General features: G+C 37.5%; 1 protein-coding gene across 173 annotated transcripts in view; it reads left to right on the top strand.

Moving 5' to 3' along the window:
• PTK2 (protein tyrosine kinase 2) overlaps positions 1-17670 on the top strand; it is a 344180-nt gene that overhangs the window by 153091 nt on the left and 173419 nt on the right. For 168 of the 173 annotated variants that reach the window (NR_148039.2, NR_148038.2, NR_148036.2 and 165 more), the window contains 2 exons: positions 2311-2390; positions 2667-2729. Coding sequence is in view for 159 of the 173 variants with exons in the window: in NM_001352699.2 (NP_001339628.1) it covers positions 2311-2390; positions 2667-2729 (143 nt within the window). In the remaining 14 variants the exon portion in view is untranslated. Of the gene's footprint in view, positions 1-2310; positions 2391-2666; positions 2730-4968; positions 5043-17670 lie in introns of all 173 variants that reach the window. The other 5 variants (NM_001352746.2, NM_001352742.2, NM_001352735.2 and 2 more) reach the window with 2 other exon arrangements.

The raw sequence follows: 17670 nt of genomic DNA, 5'->3' as shown, positions 1-17670 counted from the left end.
CATTTGATTATTTTTTCTACCTGTGAATAGTGTTTAAAAATTGTGGCAATTAATCTTCAAGATTAATTGAATTTGGTAATGGTGCATTTTCCTCATCATGTAATTGGTGGTCTGCAGTAGTTCCTCTGAAATCTGCATCAGACAACTAAAAGCCACTGAATGTTTCCATCAGAGTAACGGTGGTATTTTTCTGCCTATCTAAATACCTATCTTGGTTTAATTCTTGCGCCTTTATTTTTGTGCTCGATAATAAACCTACTTATGATGCAAAACAGGTTTTAAATTGAGACTTATTTTTTGTTTTGTAGAAACAAGAGCTTCTACTATTTGTAGAAGTTAAACGAATAGTTCTAGACCTAAAGCTTTTTACTTAACTGAATGAATTAATTCAGTTCCGGTTGGTCAGTCTTGAGTGCCTGCTTTGTGGAAGGAGTAGAAACTCTTGTTCCTTGTAAAGGAGGGAAAATATATATGGAAAATAACATTTATGTACCCACCCTCCAGTTTGATGACTGTTTGTTCATTCGTTTATGCATTCATTCAATAAATATTTATTGAGCACCCAGCCTTAGATGCTAATGCAGAAAATAAAGAAAGGTTTTGAGACGAATAGTCCTTAGATCAGTAATAGCACATAGTTGTCCACTGCTGGTTGAGGGAATGTTTCTCCTACTTTAAGAGAAAATAATGAGTAAATGTTCATACTTTTTTAGTGCATATTAGGTTATAAATTCCTGGTAGGTTAAAGAGAGTATGCTCATCTGATGTGTTTTATCTTCTCTGTAACAAAGAGATATGGCAGGCTTACTGGAGGAAGTATGAAATCAGTGAATTGTAGCGCTTCCTAGGCATGCATTGTTCAATTTCCAGATAGTTTTAACTGGCCATTTGAGATTTGTCTTCATGAGTTGAAAGTGGAGTTTATACTATGATTTCTCCAGCTGCTCATCTAAACATGAAGAGGATGAGTGGGTAGGTTCAACGTGGCTTGGGTTTACCAAGCAATTCAGACAGAGGGATAATGGGAGACAGGGGAGCTGGTTGTCTTTGCAAGGGACGGTCATAATGAGGAACCATCCAGTATGAAGTAGACAAAGATTGGTGTGGAGTGAGAGATGAGTTAACTGGGGGTGGGACTCTTTGAACAAATGGGCTAGCAGGCTAGGAGGCAGTCATTGAAGAACAGGATGTTTGAAAATTTTTTTAGGGTAGAAGTCAAGACACTTTTTATATAAAGGGTCAGAGTAAATAGTTTAGACTTTCAGGAACGAGGCAAAATGCAGGGTATTATGAAAGTACAGAACAAGAAAGAAGACAAATTTCCACAAATTTTTGTGTTGATAAAATTCATAATATAATAATTGAGCATGGTTTTCTTGTAACACAGGTGTACTGCTGAAGAGAATGGGATGCGTCTTGGAGGAGGGGTGGATAACATTTCATGTGAAGTTCAAAATGGGTACTCTCATCAAAATCAATTGCAGATTTTAATCTTTTCAGGCTAATCTACAAGGAAATTGTACACATTTCGTCTTTGAAAATGTGTTCACAGTGACAGTTACTTGCACGTATTGATATCACTCTTATCGGCTTTTAAAATTGAGTTGATTCATTGTTTAGAAGGCATTTCAAGAATTCCATTAGATTCTTCTCTTTACTTTAGACTTTAAGCTTGTATTACTTTGCAGATTAATCACTTAAAATTGATGGTTAGATGAAAACATCTGAGCTGCACAGTTAAATGGATTTTGAAGTACGTAAATCCTTTGCCTTTTCACTGGAGTCCAAAATATGCTGCTGGAACTGTAGTTTGAGGTCAGAAAATACATCTGCAAATTTTTGTAGAAATGGAAATTTCCCTTCTTGTTTTTACTTTTGACAGCATGGGAAAGGTGTGGAGCATCTGAAGGTTATTATGATTCAGACCCTATTCGTTGTTTCTTAATGTCCCATTTAAGTGGTCATATATGAGCTTTTCTTAATAGGAGACCATTTTATTTCTTTAATTATTTTTTGGTATAACTCACGTTTATATCTTTAACATCAGGCATAATTACCGACACAATGTAAACTATATGAAAGGTACTGAAGAAACATTTATTTATATCTTTAACATCAAGCATAATTACCGACACAATGTAAACTATATGAAAGGTACTCAGGAAACATTTATTTATATCTTTAACATCAAGCGTAATTACCGACATAATGTAAACTATATGAAAGGTACTCAGGAAACATTTATTGAATGCATATATCTAATATTTTTCTTTTAAAACAGTGTTGTTTTTCCCATTCCTTTTGTTGTAGGTGAAGAGCGATTATATGTTAGAGATAGCTGATCAAGTGGACCAGGAAATTGCTTTGAAGTTGGGTTGTCTAGAAATACGGTAAGATGATAACTATACATTGCGGCCTTTATTTATCAATTTTTTAATTATTTTTGAATATTTTCCAGGTATTTTCCTTTTCTTCATAAGGATTATCAGTGAAATACTGAATAAAATTTGAGTAAATTATGAACTATTGGTTTGGTGCAAAAGTAATTGCATTTGTTGCTGTTAATTTTTGTTTATTATTCAGATGCCTCTCCCCCAGTTTTTATCACTTAACAACACAAACATTCCTTATATATACATATAAATGTATGTCTTCCCTGATTTTAGGCGATCATACTGGGAGATGCGGGGCAATGCACTAGAAAAGAAGTCTAACTATGAAGTATTAGAGTAAGTATTGTACTTACAATCTATACCTGCAAATATGCAGAACTAAATTCTTAGTTTATTTTAAAATTAAATACTGATTCTGAAACACTGCTATTTCTAAAATTTTATATCCAGAAGAGGAAAAGGACAGAATCCTTGATGACATTAATTGTGTTAATAAACATTTAGATTTGTTGATAGATGTCTTAAAGCTAACATTGTATATGGCCCATTAACATACACTTTGTGTAGATTTAATCATTGCAAGATGATATTTTTTTCTAATTTATATTGAATTCTACAGCTGCCTATAAATTGCTTATAAATTATTATTCATGTTCTCTGTATAAGTTACTACAGATTGTTTTGCACAAATAGAGATACGGAAGTTACTGCTCATGTATCAGAAAAATCTAGAATAACTAGAAATTTTTCCAATAATGAAATTAATGTGTGCATCAGACTGTTATATTAGATTGTATTAAATTAACCCAACGTGGAGTTTATGTCGTGGGAGGCTAGAAACCCTATACTTCATCTTTTTCATAATTAATTCAGCAAAAGATAACTGAACACTGAGTCCTTTGTAGCTAAGTGCCAGAGATTCGGAAATAAAACAAAATTTTAACCCCCAGGAAGCATTCCACTAAAAGGAAGACTCTCAGACAAGTAAGCAAAATTATAACATAATGTGCTAGAAACTAAAGTGGAAGTATCAGCTGGGTGTTTACAGGAGAATGGTACTTGATGTGTGAGGTGTTTTCACATGGAGATGTTATTTAACCTAAGTCTTAAAGAATGAGTGATTCACAAAGTGTAGATATGTGGGGTTTGTTGCATGGGAGCCAGGAAGCCAGTCAAGAGGATAAATCAGCATTTGCAAAGGCACAGAAACATGGACCATCAGGCAAAGGTTAGGAAACTGAGTTGGTTGGGGGTAGATAGAATACCATTCTTATGAGGGAGAGAGGGGTATGTATACAGGGACCAGGTCATTACCTATCTAGTACATTCTTCAAAGAGTCTGGACTTGGCCTTTGATCATCGCTGACTCATCATTTCAAGCAGGACAATTATATGATGAGATTCGCAATTTAGAATTCCATATTTGTGAGATTAGAATTTCATTAAAGAAGATTGAAAATGGTAGCAAGGAGCCAGGAAGCTGTTGTACCTTTCTTGTCCATGTGAGAATGATGAGGCTGTGAGACAGAAGGAAGCAGTGGCCATGGAGACACGGGCTAGCAGAGGTAGAGTCTGACTGGAGGCTGATTACATTTGAATTAGGGACAGGGAGGAACCCAAGGAGTCTCTTGGTTTTCTGTCGTGGGCCACTATGGATACCAGTCACAGAAAAGGAGTGTGCTTGAGGAGAAAGAAGACAAGTTACTCGGAGCATGTTGATTTTTAGTTCTATGGGAACATTCATGTTTTTTAAAATGAAAAAGGAAAGATAAATGTTGGTTTATTTCACTGTTATGAAATGACAAATACCAGTAGCATTAAAAAAAGTCTCTTATGGTACCCTGTGCTTAGATCTTGGTTTCTAGTACCATTCTTCAGTGGAAGGCACCAGAGCTGCTTGGAAAAATGCAGTTTGAGGGAGAGGAGGAATAATACACGGGTGAGCCCTAGAGCAGCTTGTAGTGCCAGAAAGAAGGAAGTGCTCAAAAAGCAAAACGATGGGGCTGTGTCAAAGGATGAATGAGCCAGTGGAAAGAGTTCCCAGTGACAAAAGCTGGAACAATTCGAGCAACAAATTAAGTTACATAGTATTAGATTGTAACCCAAAGTATAAATTAAATACCCATGAGTCCATAGTAATATAGATACTTGAATAAATAAATAAAGGAGCAGTGACAAATTTCCTCTATAGAAAAATTCCAAATAATTTATGTAAATACCCTCTCTCAAAGGAGGTGGAGCATAAAACCCACCTCTAACGTATGAGCTACATTTAGTGGCTTGTTTCTAAAGAGTATAATAAGGAAAGGAAGTGTGGGGAAAAAGTAATTTTACAGTGAAGAAACCTGACAGGCATGACCTTAGCCAGGTGGTCAAAGTCAACATCACCAGTGATCAGTCATGTTGATAGTGTGCAACCATAATGTAATGTGTTGAGAAAGGCACTTTACCTCTGTGGCCTTCCTCATAATAAAAACCCATAACCACAGTCTAATCACGAGAAAAAACATCAAACAAATCCCTCTTCAGGGACATTTTACAAAGTACCTAACCAGTACTCCTCAAAACTGTCAAGGTCATGAAGGAAACAGTGGAAGTCAGAGAAACTCACATATCCAGGAGTTGCCTAAAGAAACAGGATGATTACAGGTAATGTGGTGTCCTCCATATGATGTTGGAACAGAAAAATGATAGGGGAAGAAAACTGATGAAATCTGAGTAAAGTATAGAGTTTGTTAATCATAATATATCCATACTGGTTTATTATTTGTGACAAATGTACCAAAGTAATGCAAGATATTAATAGTAGGGGGACCTGGGTGTGGACTATACAGGATACTCTCTTTGTAACTCTTTTGTAAATCTAAAACTATTGTAAAATAAAAGGCCTATCTAAAAAAAACCTGATGGGAGAATTGAGGTCAGCAAGTAGTTAGAGATGATCTAAGAAGGTACAATAGATGGCAAATAGTTAATGTGAAGTCAAGAAAGGAGTGCTAGTTGAGTGGCCTGGCTGAGTTACAGAGAGAGGACTCCAGGAACACATGTGATCATCTTTCAGGGTCACTGTGGAAGCCTACTCTAGTATAGTGGCTGGGGAAAAAGAATAATGTGAATTGTATTCTACCCTATCTGTATGTGAGGCCAAGATAGGAAAATGAAATGGTAACTGAAAGATAGAGTCTATGTGAGAACCAGAGGTATACAAAGGAATGAAGAGAGCCAGACATACTGTCAAAAGGATACAGAGTTACAGGAAGAGAGATACTTGAAAGAAATTTCCATGAATAATACATTGACATATTTTTAACAGCCAAAACAGTTAAAGAAAGAAAAGCAGGTTGTCTGTCAAGGTGAATTAGTGAATGGTATGTTTGGAGAGAAGAATTTTAAGTTCAAGATCTGTTTGAAATGAGAGTCAAATTTTGCACTGAAGTTAGTGTAAATTTGGCTTATTTCTGGAAATTACAGAACTTCAGATGATCAGAGAAGAGGTGAATAGAAGAGGACAACTTAGGGCTTTAACCAGTGTTAAAGGCTTTCAAAACCTTACGCAGTTTTTGTCAGGGGTCAGTGAAATGGAGAACATGAGAATTGCTATACATAAGGGCTTGTGATTATTATTACTTGAAACAGGAGAGCTAGACACAGCATAAGTTTGTAAATTAGATCCTTCTTAGAGGATTGCATGGAAAGTTGAATGATCTATTGTTTTGATATGGCTGTTTCATCTTAGTTAATTTATATGTGTGATATTTAAAGTAAGTAAATATGATAGTTAAAAGAAAGAGGAATCTTTAGTTTATTGTAGTTCTAGGATGCTATTGTGCTTATTTTGCTGTCCCCTCTTTCTAAATTCCTGTGCTTTTGCTCCACTGTAGTGATTCGTTGCAGTTATACAACTTGTGTGAATTCAGCACCCTATCTCCATATAAGTAGATTAGTTGAGTGACCTCTTGAAGCAGAATATCTGGGTTCAAGTCCTTATCGCACCTTGACTATTCTATTTGCCAAATTTTATTAGTAAGCTCTTGGTGTCTGTTTCCAAACGTGTAAAATGGGGATAATGGTGATACCTACCTATATATGAGATTGTCGTAAGGAGTTAGATGAGATAATTTATGTCAAGAGCTTAATACCTCTTGTACCCAACACTGAATAAATGTGGACTATAATTATGATTATTATCCATGGGAGATATTGATTGTCAATCAGGATAAAAACCAAACTGTAGAGTTTCTTTAAAGAGCATTAAGAAAAAAAAATAGAAAACAATGTTATTGTTCATCTGTTGATTTAATTTTGAGCCCTTTTAAAATGATTTTTAATTTATTTATTTTCAAAGGTAATAATACATTCTAGTTAGAGAAAAAGTGAAACTACAGTGTCAAATAAGAAAATTTCTTCAACTCCTCTCACTGATAACCACCATCATAGTTTTAATAAATATCCTTATAGCTCTCTGTTTTAACACTTGTGTGCACATTCAATGCATAGTTTTAATATAAGTGGAATAATCCTATATGCATCTTGCTTTTTTTATTCAACTTTATGTTTAATAGATCTTTCCATGTGACTAAATAAAAATATACATTAGTATACTAGTCCACCCAATGAGTATATAATGCTACATACATTTAAACAGCCACATAATAGTGGACATTCAGTTCAGGTTAATAACAATGTAAGGCATGGTGCCATTTTTTGTTCATTTTTGCCTATATGATAGGCAACAGATGATAACTTGCTTTATATTAGTTTGATTACTGGTGATATTAAACCTCTTCACATATATGGCCATTTTTAAGTTTTTTTTGTAAATTAACTATATTTTAAATAAGCTTTTCTAATATATTTTTTCTTTATTAATTTTAAGCAGTCTTTGTCATGTTAACACATCTTGTAATGTTAGTTCTGTATTTTCTTTCCCAGCTCGTCATTTTCTTTCAACTATGTGTATATGGCTCTCATCATTACAGAAGTTTGTCTTTCTTTAATGTAGTAAAATCGTATTTTCATTTTGGTTTTTGAGTTTTAAGATCCGATTTTTAAAAAGGCATTCCAGAACTTAAGATTGTTAAATGTTTGTTTTGAAACTTTTGTGTATTCATTTCTGTTTTTACATTTTCAAATGTGTGGATTTTAAAAATATTTTCTTTTTAAATTAACTTTTGGCTTAATGACATTATGCTCAGATAGCGTGGTCTGTGTGATAAGAGCTTCTCAACTTTTATGGAGACTTCTTTTGTGGACCCTAGAATAAGATCATTTTCCCCTAGTGTTTTATCATGAAAAAGTTTCAAAAATACAAATAAGTTGAGAGACTTGTTCAGTGAGCATCTGTGTGTCTATTACCTGAATGCTACAGTTATTAACATTTTGTTGTATTTGCTTTGTGTGATCAGTTTTTATAAATGTTTTAGTGTGATTCAAAAAATGCACTTCCTAATCAAGCTTGTTAACATACCCATCTGTGATAATGACTTTGCCAATTTCTTCCTATAAGTCTATTAATTTTTCCTTGATATTTTGAGGCGCTTTTATTTAAACATACGAACAATATACCTTCTTGGTAAATTGAATTTTGCATCATTATGTAGTGATCTTCTCTATGCCTGATAATTTGTTGTTGTTGTTCTGAAATCTGTTTTGCTTTCTTTAGGTTAGCCTTGACCTGGTTTATACTTTTCATTTCTTCACTTTCAACTTCTCTGTGTCCTTATACTTTCAGGTGTGTCTTTTAAAAATGTCATAGTGCTGGATTTCTTAAATCCAGTTTGCTAAGTGTTTCTTTGAACTGACAGGTTTAGTACATCTGTATTTCTTAGGATGCGTGATATATTGGACTCGCTTTTATTATTTATTTCCGGTGTCCTAGAAATAAGCTGTGTGTGAGTGCATGTGCTGTGTATTTCTTAGTTGGTATTCTTATTCCACATTTTCTTCTGTAATTACGTTGAAATTTATAAACATCTCTACTCTTTCATTAGTTACCCTTACATTTAACCTTCTATATTAACCAACTCCAGATTTTAAACTTATCTAACCCTCTCTTAAACAATACAAGGACCTTTAAACACCTTAACTCTCCCCATCTTCTTCCAACTTACACATCATTTTTTCCTGTTATTTTAGTTATATCTTTTCAAAATTGAAACTCCAAATATTAGACATTATTATTATTTTATACAGTTATTATTTTTGGCTTTCCCTACATGTATATGATTTTATTTCTTAAACATCCTATATTGGGCCAGGTGCAGTGGCTCATAACCTATAATCCCAGCACACTGGGAGGCCAGGGTAGGAAGATGGCTTGACCAGCACGGATAGCATAGCGAGACCTCATCTCTACAAATAATTATAAAAATTAGCCAGGCGCGGTGGCACGCAGCTGTGGTCTCACCTAGTCGGGAGGCTGAGGCTGGAGGATTGCTTGAGCCCAGCTTGTTGTGGCTGCAGTGAGCTATGATCATGCCACTGCACTCCAGCCTGGGCAACAGAGGAAGACCTTGCTTAAAATAACCATTTTTGTATCTCAGACCACCCTTCTGGTATGCTTTTCCTTTTATTCCAAATATATTGTTCTGCTCATTGTTTTTTTCTCAACACTGTAAAGATACTCTGTTATGACAAGAAATGTCTGTTGACATTTCTTTATGGTTGCTCTTTCTTTTAAGGTCCTTTTCCTACTTTTCATCTTTTCTAGTTTTATTCATGTCTTGTGCTTCGATTTCTTTTTATAAATCCAGTTGGAATAAGACATACTTCTCAATTCTGTAGATTCATGTTTTTCATCTGGAAAATATATGCCACTATCTCTTTAATAATCAACAGATATATTTCTGATCTTTGCTGTCTCTTACATTTTTCGTGTTTTCTATCTCTCTGTCTCTCTGGATTCTCTCTTTTTTGGGGGAGATATTTCTTTGGATTTGTCTTATAATTCTTTAATTCTCTTAAGTAGTATCTTTATGCCATACGTTGTTCATTGTTTTTTTCATTCTACCACTTATATTTTTTCATTTCTAGACATTCCATTTCATGTGATGTAATCTTCTTCATGCTTGGTAACCTCTGGTATGCCCATCTGTGGTGTTTGTGCCGTTTATTTCTTCAAGTTTTTATGCATAGCTGTTTTCTGTTCTGTATTTGACAATAACCTTGAGGTACTGGGGTGTCTCAATCTGCTGTTACTCTGACTCTCACTCAGGCCACCAAAGTGGCTTGGATTAGAGGCTGGTGGCCCTAGACTGGGCAAGCTGAGTTCCAGGGGGCTTTGTTTACACTGCTGCGGCTTCTGGCAAGAGCCAGGAAATGATGCCACTTCCGCCTTCGTCAGGTCCAACCTCAGTGCCCAAGCGCCGGGTTCATCATCCCCACCTTGCAGGTACCGTCGGTCCAGAAACCCAAAAACAGTTTCCCTTCTGCCTGTCGTGCTTTGTGTTAGTGTGTGTGTGCTGGGGGCGTCCTAGAAACCGGCATGTTTATCACCCTGTTGCCTAAACATTCTTCATTGTAGCTCAATCTGTTTCCAACATTAGTTTCCCTTTTACTTTTACTTATAAGTTTTTTTTTTGTTTTTTTTTTTGAGACGGAGTCTCACTCTGTGCCCAGGCTGGAGTGCAGTGGCGCGATCTCGGCTCACTGCAAGCTCCGCCTCCTGGGTTCACACCATTCTCCTGCCTCAGCCTCCTTAGTAGCTGGGACTACAGGTGCCCGCCACCATGCCCAGCTAATTTTTTGTATTTTTAGTAGAGACGGGATTTCACCATGTTAGCCAGGATGGTCTCGATCTCCTGACCTTGTGATCCGCCCGCCTCGGCCTCCCAAAGTGCTGGGCTTACAAGCGTGAGCCACCGCGCCCGGCCTAGAAGTTTTTAATATGTAGTTTTTGATAATAAAATTCTGTTTTTAAATCTGTCTCTTTTTAAAAAATTTCACCCTTGTTCTTGAAAGGTAGCTTAACAGATGCTGGTCAAGCAATCTTCCCACTTTGGCCTCCCAATGTGCTGAGATTATAGGTATGAGTCACCATATCTGGCCCGATAATAGCTTAACAGAGAAAATGTAACTATTAACCTGGTTACATTTTATATAATAAAGATACTTAACAATATTGCATTTGGCCATTGTAAAGGCTGATGCCAGTGCTTTAGGAGTGGCCTGGCTGAGAGGATGTGCAGGGACTCGCATGCACACACCATGGCTGTTCTACCACAGGAGCAACTGGGAACCCCAGCAGCTCTCTCAAGGAGTGTGTTGGCATTTCTTTTTCCTATTGGTTTTGGCTAGTAACTTGGAGCCATTTAGAAATTTATATTTCTTCGGTACAGAAAGGAATTATACATGAATACAGAATACTGCTTGTTTCTTATTAGTTCATTTCATGGTTCTCTTTTTCCTTTCTAATAAGAAAACTCATGATATGTTCCACATAATTTATTAGATTCCGGCAGGAATTTTAAAGTCAAACTCAGTTGTTTACAGCCTAATGCACAATGCCCTTTCAGCTTTACTGTACTTTTTTTTTTGAGATGGAGTCTTGCTCTGTTGCCCAGGCTGGAGTGCAGTGGCGTGACCTCGGCTTGCAGCAACCTCCTCCTCCTGGATTCAAGCAATTCTCCTGCCTCAGCCTCCTAAGTAGCTGGGATTGCAGGTGCCCACCACTGTGCCCGGCTAATTTTTTTTGTATTTTTAGTAGAGATGGGGTTTTACCATGTTGGCCAGGCTGATTTTGAACTCCTGACCTCAAGTGATCAGCCCGCATCGGCCTTCTAAAGTGCTAGGATTACAGGTGTAAGCCACCGTGCCCAGCTGCTTTACTGTATTTCTAAATGACTTTTTTTGTTTTTGTTTGTTTGTTTGAGACAGAGTCTCTCTCTGTTGCCCAGGCTAGAGTGCAGTGGCATGATCTCAGCCCAGTGTAACCTCCACCTCCCAGGTGCAAGTGATTCTCCTACCTCAGCCACCCAAGTATCAGGGATTACAGGTGTGCACCACCACGCCCAGCTAATTTTTTTATTTTTAGTAGCGATGGGGTTTCATCATGTTGGCCAGGCTGGTCTTGAATGCCTGACCTCAAGTGATCCACCCGCGTTGGCCTCCCAAAGTGCTGGGATTACAGGTGTGAGTCACCACGCCCAGCCATAAATAACTATTTTGAGTTATACTAGTACTACTACTACCACTAAGGCATAGTTTCTGAGAGTGTGACAAATACATCTAGAAGCTTAAGGGTTTTTTCTTTAAACCAACTAGAGAGTTCATCAGTCTTTCTTTTCATGTCTTTCCAATCTAGGAAGAACCAAGGTACTTTTTTTGTAGGCAAAGGAAAAGTATAAGACACTGAAGTCCCCCAACCCCTGTCCCTGGTACGTTACTTCCTGTGGGCTCACACAACAGGGAACAACTGGAGTGCAAAACAGACAAGACTTTTATTTACATCATTTGTAAATAAGAGGTGAGGAGGAGAGAAGGCAGCTACCAAAGGAGGTCAAATGTTTTAAGAAAAATGTTTTTCGTTAGCCTTTAAAAGTACATTGCTGATATTGACAAACCAATACAGTGTTAAAATTAGGATTTCTAATATGGCATTAGAGAAGGAAGACTCTTATTTTCCAGTAATTATTCCCCAAATTAGAGAACTATAATGTGAAATTATTTTAAATGAACCATCTAACTTTTCATTTCTGCTTGATTCCTTATTAAGTGGTTTGCCTTTTTTTAGAAATTTGTTTTTAATCATCTTTGCATTTAGTATATTTTGCTATAGTGGTTTGTATAGTTGTTTCTCTTCACTATGGAGAATGTGAGCTGCATTCTGTTGTGCGGGGAATGTATTCCCCACACATTATATAGTATCTGATATCTGTAAGATATTCCATAGGTATTTCTAGAATGGATAAATTTGTGGTTTAAAATTAGCTGAGCTTAGTTATCGCTGTACTTGTTTTCATTTTTCTTGTCAACAGTAGTCAATTGCATCCTTTAGCTACTTATAATAAATATCAAAGAAGGAGGTGCTGGTAGATTTGGCAGGAATTGATGGTTGCCTCACTGAGACAGAAGTTTATTTCTCTTATATAAAAGAAGTGATAGACAATCAGTGTTTCTCAGTCATTGGGGCTACAGGTTACTTTAATTTTACCATTTTGTAATCCATAGCCACCTCATAGCCTAAGAGGCTGCTGAACATCACTCATCACCACGTATGTATTCTAGTCCCCAGGAAGGAGGAAGAGATGGGCATTCTCTTTTTCTTTTCAAGGACACAAACGTGTATACAGTAAGTCTTCACTTAACATCAATAGGTTCCTGGAAACTATAAGTGAAACGACATAAAGTGAAACCAGTTTTACCGTGGGCTAATTGATATAAACAAGAGTTAAGTTCTTGTGGAATGTTTCTCGTCACAAAAACATCCCCAGCTTCTAAGTAGAGACCCAAAACACTTCTAATATTAAACATTGGAATAAATGTAAGCATACATTTTAAAAAGTCTGATTAAAAAAAAAACCAGATAATTATTTACCCAGTTATTCCAGTTCAGGGTCGTGGGTGGCTGGACCCTATCCCAGCAGCTCAGGATGCAGGTCAGGAGCCAGCCTTGGACAGGATGCCATTCTCGTCACAGGGAGTACTCACTCCCCCAACCCCATACTCACTCATCCTGGGACAATTCAGACACACCAGTTCCCCTAACATGCACATCTTTGGGATGTGGGAGGAAAGTGGAGTAACCATAGAAACCCCACACAGACACAGGGAGAACATGCACACTCCATATAGTGGCCCAGCTGGGAATCAATTTTTTTTCTCATCAACACTATAATGAAACAACATTACATAATAATGACATTATTTATGAACCTGCTGTTTAATACTTTCCCTTAGAGGGACATAGGAGAAAACATAGTCGCATAGCCATACCTGCTACAGAAGAGACTGGGGAAGGCAGCACTTTACCTGGCCAAAAGACAACTTCATCCCCAGGATGAAGGGGAGAATGTCATTAAGAAACAGCAATCTCTGTTGCAGTTAGATAATTTTAACATTTGTCTGTTAAGAAGCTTGAGTATAATTTAGAGGTGAAAGTACCACCATACTATTTCTAAATTAAATATACTCAATTCTGACAGTTTTGGAGAAAGAGTAAGAGTTACTACATGGAAATGCCTATTTAAGTTATATTTGAAGTTAGTTTTGGCTGCATTTTTGCCTGGGTTTTAAGTATTTGAGGGATTATGTTCACAAAATATTAAACAGGGTCAACAGACAAGAATCTTCTCAGAAATATTGCCAGAAGAGAAATAAATTTATCCTTGACTTAAAAATGTGCTTATAATAAGCTTAGTTTCTTTTTAATATGTAAAGAAAGTTGATTCCCATCTGAGGCTTCTAAAAGCCAGCTGTGTTATGAATTTGTGGATATGAATACACGTGCAGGATAAGGCCACAGGCTGGGACTAGATGGGCACCTAGAGGATTCATCTCAGTGAGTGGGGAATGCTGATGGCAGTCAGCTGGTGCAGGTGGGGAGAGGCCCTCCTACACAGCCTCTTTTCCTGCAGCATTCTGGATGGCCACTGTGGTGTGAAAGGAGGAATATGAGGAGGTGCATAGTCATCATGCAGGAATGTGGGAGGGCAGAGCTCTCTAAGGATTTTCCAAAAATGCTAAATGGCAACAGGAATCAGTGGAGTGTTAAATGGGATTCTGAGGTTTAGCAAAAGAGAAAGAAGACCATATCAGTCAGCAGTGTTCTAAATCTTTCACTTAAAGGATAGAGGTCAGTTAAACATTAAGAGAGTTCTGTTTAAAATTGGCCAGAAAAACCTTAAATCTCGATGGCTAAGTGTATTGGTTTTAAACTCTTATCTTATAGTACCTTTCACACTGTGTTGTAGTTAGTTGTTTATGTAATTATCTCACTTAAGAAAAGGAAACATATTAGCGATTTTTCTATCCCATGATCTGTTATAGTGCCTAGTATGTCATATGGTCTCAGTGAGGGAGTAAATGAATACAGCCTCTCTTTTCTTTGTAGCTTCAAATCTAAATGATTTGAATCTTAGTGAATAGATCATAGAAACCGTTTTTGTTAGTCCTGAGAGAGAAGTAGGAAAGGTAATACTTAGAAGCCCTCTGCTATGTATATACAAGCAGTCCCAACGAAAGGCTTCTTAACATACAGCTGTCTCCTGTGAGATCTGCTGCCTTCTGCATTGTCATGGTAGAGCTCTCTCCTCATGCCTCTATACCTTCTTTCCCCAGTCTTTCTGAGCAAGGCAAGAACCTTGAGTGGTTGTCCCTGTGGTAACTCTGCACCTATTCCCAGTGCTCATGCATTTCACCCATCCCTGTGCTTACTGAGGAGCCTTTGGGCCCACAGCACCAAGCCCTAGAGAATGAGGGTGGCTGAAGTCCTAGATTCATTGCTCTGGCCCAGCCCCACCCATTGCAGCTTTCTGCGACAATGGAACTGTTCTGTGACTGCCCCACCTAGTTTGGTAGCCTCTAGCCACATGGGACTGCTCATCACTTGAAATGTGATGAGCATTGCAGTTGGGAACAGAATTTTTAATTTAATTCAACTAATGTAAGTATAAATAGCTACATATCACTAGCGGTTGTATATTGGACAACACAGTTCTAACCTAATATTAGTGTCTTGTCATCTGTGTATGGGTTCAAGAGGTTTCTCTGAACTGATGTGGGAATCTAATAAACTGATGCTTGGGTTTGGGAATTGGGGTTTGGCAATATTCTAAAAGCTTCATGTGAGTTAGTTTTTTATTACATGAGTTTAAATGCATTTAGGACATATCCTTTGACAGTTAATATAGTAAGGAATTATTGTATGATAAAGGTTAGTAATTATATTTTGTTGATGATGTGTAAGTTGTATTTGTTGTTTTATTCGCATACAGGACAGTTGTGTAGAGTTTGGGCTCAAAGAAGGTTTTTACGCCACTTGAGGCAAAACTACTGCTGATTAGAGTGCACATTGTAAACCAGTCCCAAACACACAGATCATGGAGAGAGGCGACCTCATATTAAAAATGGGACAGCCTACAAGTCCCTGTTTGGTTTCCTAAGGCTTTAAATTTAGATATCTATAATAGGCTTTCCCTAAAAACTTTGAACATAGTACCTTAGGTGGGCTCAGAGTCCTCTATCACAAAACCTGAAGTAGTTTGATTTCGAGATTAAATTAAAATGTGTTAAAGGCAGCGTTGCAGAATTTTTACCATGACCTTGTGTACTTGAGCCTCATTTTTATTTTCTCAACTGCCAGGTATCAAAAAAGTTCTAACATATGGACAAACGTTACAAATTCATTATTAGTCAAAAGAAGTTTAAGAAAACCTAAACTGTATATATGCTAATTATTAGCCTTCAGGTTTCTTTTTTTTTTAATGGAGTTGTCTTCACCTTTGAAGTAAAAGCAATACCTAGTATTCGTCTTTATTTTCAAAAAACATATGCTTCCTTTCATTTTTCTTGAATCATACAACACTTTTGGTTTATCTTTAACTTTCTTATTTGTGACAGCAATGAATATGGTAAGTTCTTTAGTTATGCCTGGCTCTGAGAAAAATAGATGTGTAGCTGGGTTGATTAATAGCAGTTGACAGCCACACAGTGGCGGAGAGGATATTCCCTGCCCTGGTCTTTCCCTCACCCAAATACTGACGTGTGTGTTGCCTTCTTGAAACATGGCCAGTTGCCTTCTTGAAATCCCTACTAGAAGGGCGTGCACGTACACCTTGCCCATGGGTCTGTTTTAGGCCCTCACATGTCTAAAACAGAACTGTTGATGCCCACCCACCTTTCTGTTCTCGGTGCGTAGCTTCAGCATTCCCTCACACCTCATGTCCAGTCACTCATCCCTGTTGCCTCTTTGTCCACAGTAGCCCCTCAATCTCACCACTTCTCACCGCTTCTCCTGTCCACCAGCAAACCTCAGGTCAGGCCATGCCTCCCTCTGCAGTAAACAGTGAGACACAGGGCATGTGGACCAGAAGCTGTCCAGACAGCAGTGCTTTCTTCTAAGGCAGAACAGAAACTGCCCCCTTCACATTCCAGGAACTTCATAAACAGTCTTACTTAAACCTCAGCACCACTGCATGGTAGTAGGAGTTCACATCCCCACTTTACAAGTAACCGGAGGTTCGCAGGTGTTAACAGCAAGTCTGTCCTATGGCAGAGCCAAGATTCAAATTAAGAACTCTCTGAGGCTGGGCGCAGTGGCTCATGCCTGTAATCCCAGCGCTTTGGGAGGCTGAAGCGGGCAGATCACTTGAGGTCAGGAGTTCGAGACCAGCCTGGCCAACATGGTGAGACCCCATCTCTACTAAAAATACAAAAAATAGCTGGGCGTGGTAGTGCAGGCCTGTAAACCCAGCTACTTGGGATACTGAGGCACGAGAATCGCTCGAAGCCTGGGAGGCAGAGGGTGCAGTGAGCTGAGATTGGCTACTGCACTCTGGCCTGGGTGACAAAGCGAGACTCAGTCTCAAAAAAACAAACACTCTGATATGAAAATAAATGCTTGCTGTTAAGGAATAGTGGCTTGAAAATGTAGATAGAGGCAGAAATCCTCAAGAATACTGCCTTGTAGATTCCAGAGTGTGTCTTTTGTGTACTAATTTTGCTACTTTTCCGTAGTGATTGGCATAAAAATTCTTAAAATGCAAAGACCCTGTGTTTTTAGGAGGCAAAATGAAAAGGAGGAACTTGTGTGGATTCTTTTCCCCCCTTCATATCCAACTGTCAAAATAGATAATGATGGTTTTGTAAAGGTAAGGAAGGGAAGTTACAAACAAAAGTGGCTAGAGACAGAAATGTAAAACCAGTAGTTAAATGAATTAACTGATGGGTAAAACCAGAAAGTAGTATATCATAGAAGCTGAGAGAGAATTATAGGATGTAATGAACATAATATCAGAATAAGAAAGAATGAGAACTGAGACCAGTTTCGAATTTACCAGAGGAGGAATTCATTGGCTTAGGAACTACTAGCAGTTAGATTATAGAATAAGGGATTTAAAATGTTTGAATATAGTATCAACCAAATAAACTGACATGATGTCTCTGGTTTTGTTTATAACGTCAGCTAACTTAACAGTTACGGATGAAGAAGTCATCCCTGTTTCTTGATACTTTATATTCAGTTTATTATATGTGATATAGTATGTGATTCTGAAAAGATACCTGTATTTCCCTTTTCTCCTTGATCCTTTTATGTGTTTCCTGACGTTCCTTAATGTCG

This window comes from Homo sapiens, chromosome 8, assembly GCF_000001405.40.
Source record: "Homo sapiens chromosome 8, GRCh38.p14 Primary Assembly".
Taxonomy (NCBI): domain Eukaryota; kingdom Metazoa; phylum Chordata; class Mammalia; order Primates; family Hominidae; genus Homo; species Homo sapiens.
The sequence above is the reverse complement of the archived record's forward strand: the minus strand, read 5'-3'. Positions and strand labels throughout refer to the sequence as shown.